This window comes from Homo sapiens, chromosome 11, assembly GCF_000001405.40.
Source record: "Homo sapiens chromosome 11, GRCh38.p14 Primary Assembly".
Classification (NCBI taxonomy): Eukaryota; Metazoa; Chordata; class Mammalia; order Primates; family Hominidae; genus Homo; species Homo sapiens.
In genome coordinates this window covers 20,771,101-20,791,799 of record NC_000011.10, presented here as the reverse complement: position 1 = coordinate 20,791,799, position 20,699 = coordinate 20,771,101, and the positions used below count along the sequence as shown (strand labels likewise).

At 41.9% G+C, this 20,699-nt stretch overlaps 1 protein-coding gene across 4 annotated transcripts in view; it reads right to left on the bottom strand.

Moving 5' to 3' along the window:
• The window catches only part of NELL1 (neural EGFL like 1), a 906,136-nt gene that overhangs the window by 783,887 nt on the left and 101,550 nt on the right, over positions 1-20,699 (bottom strand). For all 4 annotated transcript variants that reach the window (NM_001288713.1, NM_201551.2, NM_001288714.1 and 1 more), the window contains one exon: positions 7,970-8,120. In NM_001288713.1, coding sequence (NP_001275642.1) covers positions 7,970-8,120 — 151 coding nt within the window. The remainder of the gene's footprint in view (positions 1-7,969; positions 8,121-20,699) is intronic.

Below are 20,699 nucleotides of genomic sequence, written 5' to 3'. Positions count from 1 at the left end.
ACTAGGAATAGAAAGAGACTTCTCCAATATGATAAAGAACACCTACAAATAGAAAAAAAAAAAAAAAAACCTCCAGACTGGTGAAGAGTACCTGTGAAAATCCACACAGCTGACATACTTCAAGGTGAAAACTGAAAGCTTTCCCTTTAAAATCAGAAACAATACAAAGATATCTGCTCACCATTTCTATTCAACATTGTACTGGAAGTTCTGGCCAGGGCAATTTGGTATAAAAATGAACTAACAGGCAGCAGGTAGGACAGGAAGACATAAAACAATCTCCATTTGGAGATGACATAATCTTATATGGAAAAATTCTAAGGAATTCACTAGAAACTATTAGAACTAATCAATAAGCTTACCAAGGTTGCAGGATGCAAAGTAATAGGCAAAAATTAATTTCCTTTCTATACAGTAGCAATGAGCAACCAAAAATTGAAATTAAGAAAATTATTCCATGTATGATAGCATAAAAAAATACACCTAGGAATAAATTAACAAAAGCCACGAAAATCTTAGATTTTGAAAACAAACAAAAAAAATTGAAAGAAATGAAAGACGACCTGAGAAAGTAGAAAGACACCCCATGTTCAGGAATCAAATTATTTGACATTGTTTTGATGGCAATGCTTCCTCAGACTGACGACCTACAGATTCAATACAATCTCTATCAAAATCTCAACTGACTTATTTGCGGAAACTGACAAGCTGGTCCTAAAATTCATATGAAAATCCAAGGGAAATAGAATAACCAAAACAATCTTGAAAAGAAGAACAAACTTGGAAGATTCATCAATTTCCAAACTTACTACAAAACTGCAATAATCAAACAGCACTTCCATATGGATAAACATATAGATCAATGAAATAGAAGTAATGATAGTAGCGGCAGGCTGTCTGGAGCAGCCGCTACCATCACACCAGGTGCAGCAGGGAGGCGTGGCCAGGCCTGCAGGCTTTGTGGAGCCACTGGGAGCCTTGAAAAAGCAGAAGCCCCGCCCCTTCCAAGTTGGGGTAGAAGTTCCCCAGGCATAGCTGCAGCCGCCCACTTGCAGCTACAGACCCAGGCCTCCTGCCCCGTAGAGCAGGCAGGAGCAGGGCCCAAGTCATGGCTGCAGATCTAGACCTCCCACTCCACAGAGCAGGTAGGAGTCCTACCTCGCTGGGCTCAGCTGCAGCTGCCCAAACTGTGGCTGCAGACCCAGGCCTCCTGTTTCACCAAGCAGGCAAGAGCCCCAACCCTTCCCTTCACAGCTGCAGCTGTGGGCCCACGCATCCCTGCACTCTTGGAGACCTGGGAAGGACCCCACTGCACTTGTAGGCTCAGAAATGCCTGCTCCTACTGCCTGGCTTCTGTCTGAAATAAGCACCTGCACCAATCTTTGAGCAAAGTCGGGGCCGAGTTCCGGCACTGTCACAGCCTGGCTGGGTGTGCACATACTCAGGGCAGTGCTGACACACCAGCCCTCTGCCACCTTAGCCCTCTCTGGATTTTGGGCACCAATGAGCATAGGAGGGAAGCTGAGGTGAGGCTGAAGTCAGCTCAGCATTTGCCTGCAGGTATCCCTTGGCACCTGCAGTCTGGGCACCATGAATGTCAGCAGGAGGTAGACAGTTCCTGGGTGGAAGTGGCTGGCTCCCCAGTGAGGCTTCGCCTTCAGGCCAGGGAGGGCCTGATGGCTGCCAGTGCCACAGACAGGAATGGGAACTTGTAGTGCCTTTTCGAGGCCTATCCATGGCTGCCCATGGGCCAACTGGCATGCACTTCCTCCCCTCTGAGGCCCATATAAGCCCCAGGCTCAGCCAGAGCTGAGCAGACATCAGAAGGACCAGCTGCAGAGAGGAGCTACCCAATCCAGGGCCTCCTCTCTGCTGAAACTTAAGCAGACATCAGGATAACCCGCTGCAGAGAGAAGCCACCCACTCTAGGGCCTCCTCTCTGCTGAGAGCTGCAGAGACAACAGCAGGACCTGCCTGCAGAGAGGAGCTTCCTACTCCAGGGTCTCCTCTCTATTAGGAGCTGAACACCTGTTGGGACACCCTGGCTGAGGAAAGGAGCTACTCCTGTGGAAGACTGAACTGTTCTATTGCTCAATAAAGCTTCTCTTCATCTTGCTCACTCTCCACTTGTCTGTGTACCTCATTCTTCCTGGTTGCAGGACAAGAACTTGGGACTCACTGAATGAGGCTAAAAAAGATGTAACACAAACAGGACTGAAACATTCTCCTTGCTTGCCACATTGGGGGCAAAGAGGAGAGAAGAGAAGAGCTGCAGCCCTTTGGGGAGCACAGACCTGGGCTCCCCGAGCCAGGGCTGTGACTCCCTCTTTGGGGCCTTGCAGTTCCTGGTGTCTCCAAGCTTCCAGGTGCCACCGTGTTCCCCGGTGCTGGTGGAAGCTGCTTGAGGTGTACCTGGTCCAGCCACAACCTCACAGAGAGTTGGTAACCCTGCCGGTACCTGGAGCTGCCCACCCCGTGGCAGCAGCCGGTGTATCTGAATGTGCAGGGGCCAGACCCCTTGCTCACTCACACACCCCTTGCTGCTCCATGCCTGACTCCCATCTCCCTTGGAGGCATGACACCTAGGCCAGTACCATGAGCTGAGTGCAGCCTGCCAGGCCGAGTGGGTAGAACGAGCCCAGTGGGCCCTAGCAAAACTCGGGCAAAGGCACCACCAGCCACAGGTTTCTGGTCAGAAAAGCAACACCCCAAAGATTCCATAGCAGTAAGAGACCAGAAATAAGCCCTCATATTTATGGTCAATTGATCTTCAACAGGGTGCCAATACAATTCACTGGAAGAAAAGCAGTCTTCAACAAGTGGTGAAGAAACAATTGGATATTCATATGCAAAAGAATAAAGTTGGACCCCTACCTCACATGATATATAAAAACTAACTCAAAATACATCTAAGAGATAAATGTGAGAGCTAAGCCTATAAAACTTTTAGAAGAAAGTAACTCAAAATATATCTAAGAGATAAATGTAAGAGCTAAACCTATAAAACTTTTAGAAGAAAACATAGGAGTAACTCTTCATTACTTTGAATTAGGCAAAAATATGACATCAGAATCACAAAAAATAAAAAATAAAAAAAAATTGGACATCATCAAATTTTAAAACCTTTGTGCTTAAAGGACACCACCAAGAAAATGAAAAGATCGCCCACAGAATGGGGGAAAAAACTGTAAATCATAAGTGACTGCCTCTAAAACATACATGATTATTACAAATCAATGATAGAAAGACAAAGAATCCAATTAAATGTGGGCAAATTATCTGAATATACATTTCTCCAAAGATACACAAATCGTCAATAAGCTTATGAAAAGATACTCAACATCATTTAGCCATCAAGCAAATGCAACTCAAAACCACAGTAAGGTATCACTCCATACACATTAGAATGTCTATCATCAAAAAGAAAGATAATAACTAGTGTTGACAAGGATGTGGAAAAATCGAAACCCTCAAACGCTGCTTCGGGGAATGTAAAACAGTGTAGTCACTTTGGACAAGTCTGGCAGTTCCTCAAACAGTTAAACAGAGTTTCCATCTGATCCAGCAATTCCAGTCCTAGTCATATACCCAAGGAAATAAAAACATGTCCACACAATAGCTTGTACATAAATGTTCATAGCAGCATTATTCATAATAGCCAAGAGTGGAAACAATTCAAATGTCCACCAACTGATAAATGGATATCTATAATGTATTATATCCAAACAATGTAACATTATTCTGCAATAAAAAGAAGTGAACTACTGACATAAGCTACAATATGAATGAACCTCGAAAGCATTATTCTAAGTTAGAGAAGCCAGTCAAAAAGGGATACACAGTGTATGATTTCACTTATATGAAATAACCAAAATAGGCAAATCTACAGAGACAGAAAGTAGATTAGTGGTTGCCTAAGGCTTGGGAGCTTATGGGGAAATTGTGGGTGACAGCTAAAAGGTATGGGATTTCTTTTGAGGGTAATGAGCATTTCTAAAATTGATTGTGGTGATGAATGCACAATTCTGTGATTATACTAAAAGCTACTGAATTATAAAAATAAAAAATTATCTAGGAATCTAATAATGCCCATCACATCCCAATTGTTTCAAATACTTATTTAACTTATCTTCATCACTAGTAATACAATCAGAATCACATAAGGGAGAATCACAAAAAGAACCTGGGTGTCTGATTTTTAAGCCAACAATCTATCTACCACATACCTGGATCTTCTGCTATTGAATAAAGAAAAGCCCCAAATCCTTGGTCAACTTATATACGTGGTCAAATGTCCATGCCAAATTTCTACAGGATAATTTGCTCCTCTAGATACTTTTATCCTGGTAAATAATAAAAGTAACCTGAAAATTATGAAAGATTCTCACTTATTGCAGATGGGAACATTTGGCGAGGGGAGGAGAGTTATAATGAATAGACTAATTTCTAAATATATGCCATTATATATTCTTCTCTATTTTCTTACATTCCAGTCTCCTTAAGTAGATCTTCTCTACTAGAGTAGAAACCAGGTTTTCTCTATTACCCCCAGCCATTACATTACAAATCCACAGTCTTTCATACCTTGCCTTGTCAGACTACACACACATGGAACAGGGCATCATAAAGTCCAGAGGGAGAGGGGATCTAGTATCTACTTCTTCATATTTATTTTGTTTAGCAGTCAGGATCTGAGGTTTGAGATTTTTCGTACTTGTCTTTCATGGTGCCTGCTTGGCTCTCTTGCAAGTGTACTTTCCTTCCTTCCTTTTTTTTTTTTTTTTTTTTTTTTGAGACGGAGTCTCGCTCTTTCGCCTAGGCTGGAGTGCAGTGGCGCCATCTCGGCTCACGGCAAGCTCCACCTCCCGGGTTCATACCATTCTCCTGCCTCAGCCTCCCAAGTAGCTGGGACTACAGGCGCCCGCCACCATGCCCGGCTAATTTTTTGTATTTTTAGTAGAGACGGGGTTTCACCGTGTTAGCCAGGATGGTCTCGATCTCCTGACCTTGTGATATGCCCACCTTGGCCTCCCAAAGTGCTGGGATTACAGGTGTAAACCACCGCGCCTGGCCTCTAAAGCTTTTTAATAAACTTTCACTCCTGCTTTAAAACTTGCCTCGGTCTCTCCTTCTGCCTTATGCCCCTCAGATAAATTTTTCTTCTGAGGACACAAGAAGAAAATCCATATGGGTCTTGCTGTAGACCCATATGGATTTGCCCCCAGTAACATATTTTGGTGGCATGTAACTTGGATACCCTCCACTGCCAACACACTTTGGTGTCTTGTGACTCAGATAATTTCTACTGCTAATATACTTTGGTGCTGTGTGACTCAGATATATTCCCTAGTGGTAAGAGACCTCTATGCCTCACCTTCTTTGGCTAAAGGCATTCAACCCCTGTACACGGTTTTCTTCTCCCCCCGCCTTTTTTTTTCTTTTTTTTTTTGAGATGGGGTTTTGCTCTTGTTGCCCAGGCTGGTGTGCGATGGTGCAATCTTGGCTCACTGCAACCTCAGCCTCCTGAGTTCAAGCGATTCTCCTGCCTCAGCCTCCCGAGTAGCTGGGATTACAGGCATGCACTACCACACCCAGCTAATTTTTGTATTTTAAGTGGAGACGGGGTTTCACCATGTCGGTCAGCTGGTCTTGAACTCCTGACCTCAGGTGATCCGCCCTTCTTGGCCTCCCAAAGTGCCGGGATTACAGGCATGAGCCACAGTGCCCAGCCTCTTCTCCCTTTCTCAAAAAAAAAAAAAAAAAATTCTGAAGTTTTTCTATTACAATGAAAAATGATCAAATGACTCTCCTATCAATCATCCTTGGGCTCTATTAGAAACCTACTAGGGATATAAAAGACAGCCTCACATGGCAACAAAAAAGTTTTTTTAAAACCTTTCCTATTGAAAAAAAAATCCAAAAGAGAAACCCTGCAAATACAGTTTCAAAACACACTTAGACAAGGAGAATAAATGTATATGTGTCAAGGGATGGCCACTCACCATGCACAATCCTTTTTCTTCCTTAGAGCAGCCCGGGAAAATAGATTATTACACACATTTTACAGACAAGGAAATTGAAGTTCCAAGACATTGAAGAGCTGGTGTCACAAAGCTAGAACTGGAACTCCAGCCTCCATCAGACTGACTCTGAAACCTGTGCTCTTTCTAATATAATAGCAACTGTTTCACATGCTTCTCACCTGCTGTGGGAAGCTCTCCTCTGCATTCATTGAGAAGTATCTCAAGATCTACCTCCTACTTTGGGCATTTGTATAACCCTCATACCAAAGAAGCATTCACACCCAACCCCACAAGGCCAATAGGGCAAGGTAGGGTTGTGAAGCTGAGACTTGCCTTGACACTCAATCCTTGGAAAATGAGAACCTATACCTTTCTCCAGCATACAGAACACCTTTGAACGAACCCATATCTCTCACAGACATGTACATCACCTTGCTTTCTCTGGGCTGACCCAGAACAGCCAGATTGTAATGACAACACCCCCACAAAATGATCAGGGTCCATCACCACGCTTTGAGGCTGAGAACAAACAACCATTAAAGACAAAACTGTTGATCCTTACAACTACCAAAAGTCTGCATAGAAAGAGCCTCTGTTCCAGCCAAATTGGTCTGTTTGCTGCTCCCACTCCCAAAATTGCATTTCTCTATATTTCTTCACCTCTGTGACTGTGCACACTGTTCCTTCTGTTTGATGTAACACCCTTCTTCCCTTACCTGCTGGAATTCTGCCTGTGCTTCAAGAGCACTCTCTCTGTATGGTCTTCCTCAACCACTAACCTAATGCATTTAATTCAGTGAACTTAACACATTTATGTAATTTTGAAATTAGCTCCATACTTCATTGTAACACCAATCTACTATTTCTTTATTATTGACTCTTTTTTATTCTTCAGCTTTTTGTGTGGTTATGCCTTGTTTCCTGCATTGCCAAACTCCACCATACATGCTTAGAAGATTTTGTTCCTTTGATTTCTCCACAAAACCTCGCATGGCACCTAGAACAGAGTAGGTGCTTCATAAATATTTTCAGTGGACTAATACAGAGGAACCCAGTATTAAAAAATAAAATTGTTTAGGTTACCTAATGATTATTAATTTGAATTCAATGATTGAGTGATCTTTCTTAAACTTAAAACCCATTGCCTAGGGGACTTCAGTACAAGTTTTTAACATGGCATTGAAGCTTTGCGATGATCTGGCTTCTACCTACCTCTATAATACCAGCCCCATCGCCCACCCCAAACTCTCATCCCTTCCCCATACACACTTTTATGTTCCAACGACTTACCTACCCATGTGTTGCTTCTTAAAATCATAGCAACCTCTTTCTGAAATGTTATTCTTCCATCCCTTACTCCTTCGCATTCAGCATGTAGAATACTCACATTTTTTTCCTTATACAACTATCTTCTTTTCCAAAGCATTTCTTGGCTACCACAACACTTAGCAGAATGACTGCTCTTACCTTTATTTCCTGATTACAACCTTCTGGCATTGCATCTTCAATACTTTATTATATTTATTTGTCTATCTTCCCTACTAGCTTATGTGATCTTTGCGATGAAGATCATACACTATTCACCTTAATATTCCCAGTGTCAAGTATAATCCCCACATAAACACACTGTAAATGTTTATTGAAGGTTGTTAAACATAACTAACTAACTTGCTTGATGACTAAATATGACAGAATGTGATTTTATTCAAAGTCTACCAGAAGACAGACGAGAAAGATACTCATGATTGGTCCTTGGAGAGCAAACAAGAAAGCCACTTTGACCAAAGTAAATTCTTAATGCAAAGTAAATTCATGAATGTGTTCAACAGAAATGAGGCCTCAGTTAGATGAAAGTTTTCATGGGGCTACAAACTCTAAATCCCAAGACATTTTGTATAACCCATTAACTCTAAGGAGATTTTCAAAAGCAGAAAGAGCTTTCTTACCTGTGCTCCAGTTCTCGAATGGACAGTATCACTCCTGAAGTGGATGGCTTCTGCTGTACAGTGGCCAAAATGGTGAATTCACTCTTGTTCCGGAACAGCTGAATTAATTTCTCACTCACATGAGGAGCTGCATGGATCTCTCTTTCTATGTCTAGGAATCAAGAAGAAAAGCAGGAGGAAACAGGAGAGGAGAAGAGGAAGGAGAAGGAGTAGAGAAGAAATATAGGAGAAAGAGGAGAGGGGAGATGAGAAGGAAGAGGAAAAAAGATCCATGGTTAAAAATGTCATGTCCAAAGAATCCAGATTGCAAGTTTCATTTTCCTCTTCTGTCAATAGTTTTCATTTTCAGGCACCATTCCCCACTCCCTACAGCTGCATTCATTCAATGCAAATCCCGGAAATGCTGTCTCTGTCACCATGCCCACTTGTCACTTTGACAAGTTCCCAATTGGCCAGACAGTGATTTTCTGGCAGGAATTTTGACGGGACGCTGAGCAATTCAGTTTGCTGCAAACAGATTAGGTTGCTGTAAATAAGGTGAGAGGTAGTCGGATAAATGTGGTCCTAAATTCAGAGAATCTTGGGATAATAAGACCCAAATGCCACTCAGCATCCTCCAATTTCACTTTTTCCATGGACACAGCTTCCTTCTCCCCACAATGGATATAGGAAACCTGTCCTTGCTTTGTACCTAGCAGATATTTACTAGCACTAATAATGCCAGACAACTCTGCCTTTGCTTAACGAATAAATACAAGGCATGCTCATGCTCCACACCCGTGCCTGGAATTTCTCCATAAGCATGCAATGGATGACTTTCCTCATGAAATATTTATTGAAGTTGAGGCCGATTCAGCAGGCCTAGAGGTGTGTGATTCCAGCTAATCCTGCTCCTAGACAAGAATGTTTCTTTCTCCAATATCAGCATAACAAGAGACATCCATCACTTCATACCCAGACTCACCCTTGTCATGATAAACTGGGTGTTATCTCATTATTTTACACTACATTTTTCTGGCATCAGAAAGGGGCACTAAGGGAGCAAAGTTAGAGAAGATTATTCAGAGGATGATAAATGAACATTAGAAGTGTGTTTGGTGACCTCCTCTCACATCCTGACCATCTCCTCTGACTGCAAGATAACTACATGGTTATTTCTCCAGGACTACATGGGAAGCCCTTGAAAAACATAGAACTTCAAATGCTGCACTGCCCAAGCAATATCACAGACTGGTATACGGACCTTGAAGAATCTCATCCTAAAGAATGGCTTCTGAATAAGATATCCTTCAATTCTTGACCTCGGGCCTCAGTCCCCTCATCTGCAAAATGAGGGGGTAGACTAGGTGATCTCTTAGAACCTTCCCACCTTAGCCTTCTATAATTTTTTGAATTGCTGCTTCAATTTTATAACACAGAAAAGAACAGCACAGTCTTTCCCATCTGCAAGTATCTAGGGTATGAATCGCAGAAAGCAATGTTTGTCCTCCACCATGGAGACACCCAACCCAGGCAGACCAGTCTACCAGTATAAAACCTACCTGCACAATAGTAGCAAGGCCTTCGCTACTTAATTCTTAAGTGGCATGCTGTCAGCTTTTATCAAGTGTTGAGAAAAGAGATAGCATCTTGAAAAATGCTTCTATGCCTTCTACAAAATCCCAGCCAAAGATATTCCAGATGACATTTAAAACCTATTAAATGTGTGAGCAAATCACTCTGTAAACTAAAGAGTATTAGAAAATGTTTGTTAATATTATTTTTATTATCATTATTATTTTTTTTTTTTTGAGATGAGGGTCTCACTCTGTCACCAGGTTGAAGTGCAGTGGCATGATCTCGGCTCACTGCAACCTCCACCTCCCGGGCTCAAGCGATCTCCCACTTCAGCCTCCCAAGTAGTTGGGACCACAGGTGTGTGCCACCATGCCCGCCTTTTTTTTTTTTTTTTTTTTTGTATTTTTGGTAGAGACAGGGTTTCCCCATGTTGCCCAGGCTGGTCTTGAACTCCTGAGCTCAGGGGATCCACCCACCTTGGCCTTCCAAAGTGCTGGGATTACAAGTGTGAGCCACTGCACCCTATTATCATTACTTCTAAGCAAAGATCATCTTAATAAATTTACCTACAAGTAATGCCAAAAAAAATTCAAGTCTTAAAATTAAGTTATATGTTTACTTTTTACTTTTTTCTTCTTTACTCATCAATTAGAAATCAACTGATTGGTAGCAGATGCCTGAATTTCAGGATTGTAAAGCTTGGGCCCAAAGAAAAGACAGCCATAAGCGATCAGCAATGCCTGCTGGAGGAAATGGATATGAATATCCTATCAGCTATGGGTATCGTCATCTCTCACTCAGTTCTCCCTGAGTGATATCATCCAACCCCATGGCCAATGGCCTCCAACTTTATATCTGCAGCCCTAACCTCTCCCTTATGCAGTAAATTCAAACGTTCACCTTCAAGCATTTCAAATTGTAATGTGCCTACAGTGAAGCCTGTTCTCTTCCCGCCACTCTCAATTTTCTCACAAAGGTCCCAGTCTTAGTAAACGGTCACACCCTGTTCCTCAAGTCAAAAAACTAGAAATTGCCCTTGATTTTTCCCTTTTCTCCACTCTCCATATCCAGTCTAAAAACAAGTTAAGTGGGCTCCCATGTCTGGAATCTGTCCACTTCTTCCCAACTTCACTCTTAAAACTCTTGCCCAAGCCACTATCATTGCTCCCTAGGGCACTTCCAATGATCTCCTTCCTGCTTCCATACTGCCTTCTTTTCACCATTCTTCACACTGTAGTTAACGTGCTCTTTTTAAACCCTAAGTCCGAGTCATTTCAGCCTCCTGCTTAAAATCCTCCAATGGCTTCCCATTGCTCATAGGATAAAATCCAGTCCCTTCAGCATGCCTGCAAAGTTGCACACAAACTGATTCTTGCCTGCCTTTCCCACCCCATTCACACTCTTCTCCTTGGTTACTAGAGGAGCACACCAGGCCCACTCCCACCTCAGATCTTCATGCTTGTCCCTCTGCCCACAGTGCTCTTCTCTCTCCTTTTCACGTCCCTGACTCCTTCTCCTTCAGCTTTCACTGTAAATGCAATCTTCTGGCCTCTCCAAGGCAGACTCTGCATTAATGTCTCTCTAATGCTCCAGTCTGGGTATTTTCTTCATTTGACTTGTCATAATATATGTATTGTAATCCATTTATTATTTGCTGATATTATTTATCACAGTCTTGTTTCAAGCTTGTTACCTCATATTATTTCCTTTCTTTTCCCACTAGACTGTAAGTTCCATGAGGGCAGGCATACTTATTTATCCATTGTTTTATCCACAATTCTTAGTGCCTGGCACAAAACAGGCATCCAATAAAGGTTTACTGAATTAATTAATGTATTTTCCATTTATTTTTCTCATTTATATTGTTACTTCAAGTAACCATATATATTATAGTCAGAAAGTAATATATCTTTTGGAAAACCAGGAGATAAATGGGTCCTTCTCAAATGCTCATGGCCATGAAAATTTATTGTAATGATGTTTGGTGCTAAATAAACCCCACTTCTTTGCAGGACACCCCCACTTAACAGTCTGATCTAGTCCTACCAAACTTCTGCTCACTCAATCCTCCAAGAAAATGAAACATTTCTTATGTTGACTTTTCTTATTTCTTTTTAAAAATGATTGGCACACTGAAGTAAAGAGACCCCATTAGCACTCACTAGAGTGAAATGTAAGAAACACCTGTTTTGATACACTGAGGCTTTATGTGCATTCTCACTCTCAGAGAAGCCCTTTCAAGTAAATTTTGACCATGATCCAGATGTTAAAAAAACACCAACAAAGTAATTCTATTTCTTACAATATGCAGGCAGAAACACTGGACAGGTTTCAAAGGACTGAGATCACTTTGAGTTTTGCAGATGACTAGCTGTGTGACTTTGGATAAAGTACCTTACCTCTCTGAACCTCACACTCTACATCTGAAAATTAAGACCACTAAATTCCATGATCTCCAAGTTCTTTCCTAGTCTTGACATTTCATTTCAGTTAATCACTTGATCCTGCTCATAGCTGCATAGCAAAAGAGAGCACTGAGAGCAAATTCCATCTATTAAGAAACCTAGATTCTACAATTTTTCTCCTCTGCTGATTTTCCAAATTAACATAAAACATAAAGTTGTCAACTCTTAAAAATAGTGATATGTCACCTACTTTGCAGCAGCCTGCTTTTTTCCTGGAGTTAAAAGAGCAACCAATGAAACCCAATTAATGGGAACCTATAGTGAATATTGTACTTCCATATTCAACCACTACAGTATGTATTTGCTGTATTACTTAAGAATATTCAATTCTGCTAGAGATAACAGGAAAAACAAATGGGACAGATAAAGCCCATAAGAAGTGCTAAATATAGAGAGCAAGTTAGAAACCTGTGAAACATGCTAAACATAGATTGAATACGTGGAACATAAGTGTGTTGAACACAGATAAAAAGGATTGAATAAGAGTGTTACTTACAAGTACAATGGGATGGGAGGACCAAGTCATAATGTGCGTATCATGCCACCTTCAGAATGACAGTCATGTCATCCCTAAACCAACACCCATCATTGACATCCATTTCATTTCCATTCTGGCCCCACATATACTATCCTTGAGAAATGCTAATAAAACCCATCACTGCTCACCAAATTAACTGGTGAATTACAGTTGTAGCCAGGATTACTTGCTTCTGAGTATTTCCAATAGAGGAAGCATGTGGGCTCTGGAAACCTCCCATTTGCTGAGCCCCCTCCCTTTTCGTTAACCTCAGCTCCAGTCCTCATAATCACACCATCATCAAAGAAGCTGATGCAGCAGAGAGAGAGAGAAAAAAAACAGAATATATGAGCAATGAATAACACAGGAACTGGGTGGGCTGGTGCTTCCCACTGCTCACACTCAATCCTACATGTGTTAACCTACTCCATCTCTTTCCCCTGTTTCCTCCTAGATATTTTAAACATGATTCAAGTATTTGAATTTAGTCTGTCCGTGAGGCTTTCCATTTTGTAACCCTGGGGGTGTACTTGGAGGCTACCATTGCATAAAGGTAGTTTCGCACACAACAACCACTTAAAGTGAATATTTCACATTTTTAAAACGGGGGAAAATGGCGTTCCAAATGCTCAGGTTTTGCATGTTCTAGTTAAGAAGTGCTAACTCAGCAGCAAGAGTGAAGTGCTTTTTCTTTCCCAGGATAAGACGGCTCTACCTAGTCATTTTTAAAGAAAGACTAAAAATGCTAATATGATGATTAAACATCAGCAAAAAAAAAAAAAAAAAAAAAAAAGTGCTGGGTGAAGGGAGGAGATTGGAGAAGGAAAGAAATTAAATGAGGTAAACACACACTCTTCTCTGCCTCAAATAGAAGCAACTTCATTTCCCTCTTCCCTGATGTATAGAGTGAGGATGGTGGTGAATTTCATTGTCAACAAGCATATACCTTGCTTCCCCTATGCCAGGCACTGTGGTTGGCACTGGGGAAATAAAAGTAAAAACACAGTTTCTGCCCTAGAGGATAGACACGTAAGCAAGACAGTTTCCTTATGACAATAGTTGCAGAATAGGGCAGTGCACAAAAAAACAGAGGAGGCCCATAGAGATTGGGGATAACATCATGGAGGATATAATTGAACCTGACTCTAAAAACATGAATAAGCACTTACTAGGCAGGAGAGAGGGAGAAGAGGGCACTCACTGCAGCAGCATCGTATGGCTGTGAACTCACGTGTTATACATTACCCTGGCATTTTTCTTTTTCTGCAAGTGTATCTCTTACTACAAGTTCAGCAGAGAAAGCATCTACTTAACCTAATATTGGAGCAAATTCTCAGGCCCCTGATTGGCCAAGGGGTACCACATTAGCACAAAGCAGACCAAGAGGCAGAATCCCCACCAGTTCACAGCGAAGAATCAGCAAATCAAGGTGGGAAAAGCAGCAGCAGCCAGAAACATATAAACAAAAAATGCACCAAGGCAGCCCGCCTCAGCCTTGACTGGTAGAGAATGCAGGCAACATTTCAGTAATTACACTGTGAACCTCAAAATATAGCAAACTCCTGATATAGACAGGCCACAACCTTCTAGCCTGAGTGCCACATAAGCTCATGGTAAGAATGGCCCCAAAAGGTAAAGCAACATTTCTTAATTTGAAATGACAGTTGGCTTTTCATTTCTGAATGTAGAGGAAATTTGTCAATTCAGAACTGCCAACCATCAGTGAGGCAATTTCTGGTTTTGGAGGATGGGAGGCACATGTCCCACTATTTGGTCTTGTGACCCTTCTTTAAGGATGTCAGATGTTATTGATCCAAGCAGCTTTCAAAAAAACAGAAGTCACTAGAAGACTCCCAGTTAACGTGTAAGGGACTTTCATCTCCACTAACAAGTTCACAATAATATTCCATTAAACCTCCATTTGTTCCAGAAGCCGGAATGAGAGAAATCAAACCTGTATATCTTATTACTGTGCCAAGGGCAGGGCTAATGCCCTGCACATGTCATCGCACTTACAATAACTTTAGAAGACATTATTATTATTATTCCTACTTTACAGATGACCAAACTAAAGCTTACAGAATTTAAATAATGTTCTAAAGGACACTGGGCTAGGAAGGCTTGGTGCTGAGATTTCAACCTGGAAAGCTGGTTCCATGAGCTACACTCTTAACTGTGTTACACCTGCTATTCACCAAAATGTGTGATCTCAGTGCTTGATATAAATCAAGGGTAAATCACCATGATACACCCAGTGCCTGGCACTTTTGTGTTCACTCAGGAAATATTTATTGAATAAATGAATGAACAATCTATTTGTACAACCCTTATGAGGTAAATACCAACACATCTCCATTTTACAGGTGAAGGAACTGAGGCACAGAGAGGTTTCATGACTTGCCCAAGGTCACATGACGAGTGGAGACAAAGCTGACTCTTGCCCCAGCAGAGTCGACTGTGATATTCCATGGCATTCAACTGATGCTTCTGCTTATTTTTCATCCTCCTCCCTTTCCTCTCCCCCACAGCCCACACTCCCGCATTCTAGCACCACAAGCCTAACTAATATCCCTTCTTCCCAGGGCCACGTTCCTACCCATTTTGGTACACTCCCATCTGCAGCAACCTGTCTTCTCTCCCTCCTTTTCTGATAACAGTTTAATTGCTACTCCTCAGACCAGTTTTCTCTGACCACCCCAGGCCAACTCAGGTTCCTGTCTTTATTTATCTTCATTGTACTTATCACAATTGTCAGAGATTATGTATAGAATCATTTACATGTGTAATCATTTTATTAAGTGATATATATATATAAAATTTTATTTTATTTTTATTTATTTTTTTGAGACAGTATCTCACTCTGTCACCCAGGCTGTTGCCCAGGCTGGATCGTGGTGTGATCTTGGCTCACTGCAACCTCCACCTCCCGGGTTCAAGCGATTCTCCTGCCTCAGCCTCCCAAGTAGCTGGGACTACAGGCGCCCATCACCACACCTGGCTAATTTTTGTATTTTTGGTAGAAGATGGGGTTTCGCCATGTTGCTCAGGCTGGTCTTGAACTCCTGGGCTCAGGTGATCCACCCACCTTGGCCTCCCAAAGTGCCGGGATTACAAGCATGAGCCACGGCCCCCAGCCAAGTGCTATATTTATTCCCCACTGGACTGTAAGTTCCATGAAGAATTGCCTACCAACATGTACACTACACCAAGCACAGTGCCTGGTACCTGGTTAAGCCTCAAATCTTTGTCACATTAATAAACTACATCTTGGCTCCAAAGTCTGGAACACAATATAAGAAAAAAAGGTTTACCAAATACACACAAATATAACCCAAACCTGTTGAGAAAAAGTACATTCAAGTAATGAGCTGCCTAAGGAATAATAAAGCCAGTTCAATGTCCCTAACTCCTCCATTAGGGGACTAAACCTAAGGCATCCTGTGACACATGGTATTAACCAATTTTTTGTAATTACTGTGCCATTCGATCAAAAGAGATTCTGGTACCCCCATAATTTTGCTAATTAGGTACTATAAGGCAGATGAGCTCTTCTTAAAAACATTTGACAATACTAGTAGGAAAATCAATGCATTCCCTGTTGCTAAGAAATTAAACATGTGTAGCCACTCCTCTTTAGGCTGCCTCTCCACACTGCCACCCACCAGCAATCAAGTCCCCTTATCCCCATCCCCCTCATCCCCATACCTCCCACCGCATCTCAGTGAGAAACACAGGAATAAAGAGAGAGTTAAAGTATGAATGCCAGCTCCATCTGAATCACAAGACAGGAGAACAAAAAGCAAAAAGAGTGGTGAAAAGATTTTTATAATACGATTAAGAGTGCATTATATAGTCAAGAAGCTATCCAATGGTAGAGAATGGCTAAGTAAATTAGGATATATACACCCCATGGAAAATTATATATTGTAATATAATGATATGAAAGGCATTGAAATAACATAGGAAATGTCCAGCCAATACTCTGAAACAGGTATACAATAGTACATACAGCATCATACCAAGTCTATGGTAACATAAAATTTATTTTGTGATGCATAGCAGATAGATAGGCATGGCCTTCAATTTTGTCAGCAATTGGGAGCTAACATGGGTGAAATTTTTCCTCTTTCCACATGTCTGAATTTTCCAAATCTTCTCTGAGAGTTATTGTAAGAAAAAAAACTACAATGTTTATGCTAAAATATATGAGCTCATCATAGAAATGGGAGAAACAAGAAGGACATCCTACAAAAGAAGAAAATAAGCACCAATCACCTTGCTTTCAGTCCCACAATTGTGTATCCTTAAATCAGTGAGGACAACAGGGTTTTTTTTTCTTTTTTTTTGGCAATAACTGACCAGCAACCCTCCTCAGGTGCCATTTTAATACACACTGATTGTCAAGAATCTGAGAACCCCAAGGTGTACTCATCACATAGTGTACAAAACTCTAAGCACCAAAGGTTGCTGGGTGCAAGCAAGAACATCAGTTCCAGCAAGAGATGCTCTCGATGTTCTTATAAAGACATGAGGGCAGTCCTTGCCCTGCCCTCTGCTAACCACCCATCCGCTCATTTATTCATTTGTTCATTCATTCTTAACTTTAAAAACCCTTACTGAGCATTCCCTGAACCAGCACTGTGGACAAAAAACTAAGACACACCTTCTATTCATGAAGATCTAAAAGTCTAGTAATAAAGACACAAACAAAAGTGAATGGATCCTGCTCAGCTTTTCAGTTCAGAGATATAAGAAAAGTAGAGCCAGGCATGGTAGCATATGCCTGTAATCTCAGCTACTCAGGAAGCTGAGACGGAGGATAACATGAGCCCAGGAATTCTAGTCTATCCTGAGGAACATAGTGAGAAAGACCCTATCTCTAAGAAGAAAGAAAGGAAAAGAAAAGAAAGAGAAGGAGGAAAGAAGAGAGAGAAAGAAAGGAGAGAGAGGAGAGAAGGAAAGAAAAAAAGAAAGGAGAGGAAGGGAGGGAGGAAAAAAGGAAGGAAGGGAAAGAAAGGAAGGAGAGAAGAGAAGATGGGAGAGGGGGAGGAAAGGAAGGAAGGAAGGGAAGGAGGGAGGGAAAGTAAGTGGACTGGATGGGAGGGGAGGGGATGGGAGGGGAGGGGAGAGGGAGGGATGGAGGAAAGAAGGGAGGGACGGAGGGAGGGAGGGAGAAAGGAAGGGAGGGAGGAAGGGAGGGAAGGGGACAGGAGGGGAGGGAAGGGGACAGGAGGGGAGGGGAGGGGACAGGAGGGGAGGGGAGGGAGGAAAAAAGGAACGGAGGGAAGGAAAGGAGAGAGAGAAGAGAAGAAAGAGAGAGGGGAAAAAAAGGTCATGTTTAGGTCATGTCATCATAGGTCTGAAATCACCTGGAGCAGGACCAGAGAGTGAGTCCCTCATCAGGGACTTAATCTTCCAGGTAAGAGGCAATGTAGGGTAGTGGTTAAGAGCTCAGGCTCTGAAGCCTCACTGTTTGGTTAAGATTCCAGTTTCAAGCCGGGCGTGGTGGCTCACGCATGTAATCCCAGCACTTTGGGAGGCTGAGGCAGGCAGATCACTTAAGGTCAGGAGTTCAAGACCAGCCTGGCCAACATTGCAAAACCCCATCTCTACTAAAAATACAAAAATTAGTCAGGCCTGGTGGCATGTACCTGTAATCCCAGCAACTTGGGAGGCTAAGGCAGGAGAATCACTTGAACCTGGGAGGAGGAAGTTGTAATAAGCCAAGGTGGCGCCACTGCACTCCAGCCTGGGTGACAGAGAGCCAGACTCCATCTTAAAAAAAAAAAAGAAAAAAAAAATCCAATTTCACATCTTATCAAGTATATAACCTTGGATAATTTAATCTCTCTGTGCCTCAGCTTCCTCATTTTTACAAATGAGAATAAAACCACATCTACCCATGGGGATAGTATAAAGATTAAATCAATAAGTACATGTTAAACTCTCAAAACTGTCTTCCACATAAGCAGCACATGACATCTGTTAGCTTATTTGGTATACAGCCAGGACAGGCCCTGGGTCCTGTAGGATGGGTGGGGTACCAAGCTATGGCAGCAGCCACCATGCCAAAAGAACCCTGGTGCTGCAGCTGGGGCTGAAGTAAAGGTCACACTGATGGTTGGTTATGGTGGCCCAGCAGGAGAGCATTGAGCAGGTGAGCAGGGGTTGCCAGCCAGGGTTGGAGGCATGGTTAGTGGTCAGTTCTAACTCTTTTCTGTTAAAACAAAAATTGAAAATTGGGCAGAGACTATGGGACTTCCAGCCACTCCAATCTAAGTCCAGCCAGCCAATTTCCAAACAGTTCTGAATTTTTTATTTTTGCTAGATGTCAAGCTAAGGACTTTATATATGCTAATTTAATCCTCATAGCAGCCTAGTGGTGTCAGCATTGCTATCTCCATTTTACAGATGAGATACAAAAAGTTAAAACGTGTTCTACTAACTAGTCTAGCTGGAATTCAAACCCAGATCTGTCTAAAGCCAATCATAAGGCACCACTGTCCCTCAGCACCATCTATTGGCTCAGACAAACCAGTGTTTGAATCCCAGCTCTGCCAAGTACCTGCTGTAAGACCTTAGGTAGCTGTTTTCCTTCCTTCATCCTTGAGTTGCCTCATCTGTAACACTCACCTTCCAGGGTTCAGGAATGAATGAATGAATGAATGAATGAATGAAAAGTGCCTAATATTTAGGTAATAGGCACCTTATGACATTTCTGAGATGCTTTAAAAAAATGCCCATATCTAGACATTAAAGTCAGGACTTTAACATTTTCTAAGCATATTCATATACATGATAGTATTTCAAATTCATAAAACCAATTAAATGGGCATTAATAGCCTCACTTTAAAGATGAAGAATCTGTGGTTTATAGAAAATAAGTGACTTATCCAAGATCTCACCTCTAGCAAGTAGCAGAGATGTGTCTCTGACTCCAACTTTGTAGCTTATTGTGTATATTTCTGTTTGGCTTCCCTAGTCCCCAACACGAGAGCATCATTACTTCTCTACTCCAATGCTATGCCTCCCCTACGTAGCAACACTCCTCCTCCCAGAGTCTAAACTACTCTGTATATTAAGGGTGTCATCTCTAGCCTGCTTTAAAAGTTTGGTGGGCTGATCTAATTATAATTCATTCCCTTTTGTGCACGGTCCTAATTCTCAGGCATGAAAGAGACATTTTTAAATGCTGTATTGGCCCTGACCTTGCCACATCTACTCAGATTCAATAGTAAACAGTAGGGCATCATGTTCAACTGCCAAGCTCTGTAATTTATGATTATTCATTATAAATCATTTTTACATGTTACTTCAAATGCTGTTTTTCAAGAATAAAAATCTGCCTGCATTGAAAGGCACAGTGATTTTAATATGCAAACCTCCTACAGAGATGATGTCTCATTTTAATTATTGTTTCGGTTTAATGGGTTTTCATTAAATTAGAGGATGGAGCAATTACTAGGGTGAACAGCTAATGTTTCAAAGGTAAGCTCCTGTGGCTCCGCGGGCAAAAAGACAGTTGTGGCACACAGAAGCAGAAAGACACACTCTTCTGAATAAGCTTGTATTAAGCCTGACAGAAAACAGCACCAGATAGATTTTTCCCCAGCTTCAAAATAGAGCTGGCATCCCCTCTCTATGATACGCAAACAGCTCTAAGAGTATCTTTAGAACTTAGAGGTATCTTGGGGTATCTTAATCATATGACTTTTCTATCAGGAATCTAGGCTTCCCCGTCATCAGACTAGAAAGTGCTTTTAAAAGTCCATAGCCTGCAAAGCGATATGTCAAACCACAGGAAAATACTCCTGAAGAAATTGTCTTCTCTCACACACAAGTAATTTAGTTGGTTTAGTGGATTAATGTCTGACTTCCCACCCCTGGGAAATTGGTCCAACTTCAGCATAGGATGCAATGACCAAAATCTTATTAATTAGCAAACTGTCAGAGGCTCAGTGAGAAATGACTTTGGTGGCCTCAGCAATATTTCACCCCAGAAACTGCACAGATTTGACACTCAGGGACCAACAGGGCAGCATTACCTCAGATGGAGGCAAAGGAATTAATGAGAAGTAGGAAAGGAGTGGAGAGTGAGAAGTAAAGTTGGCTTTATTGGGGTCCCAGAGGTCAGTGGTGAGGGACATGACTCAGTACTTGGGGAGGGGGACCCTCTGCATTGCAGAAGCCT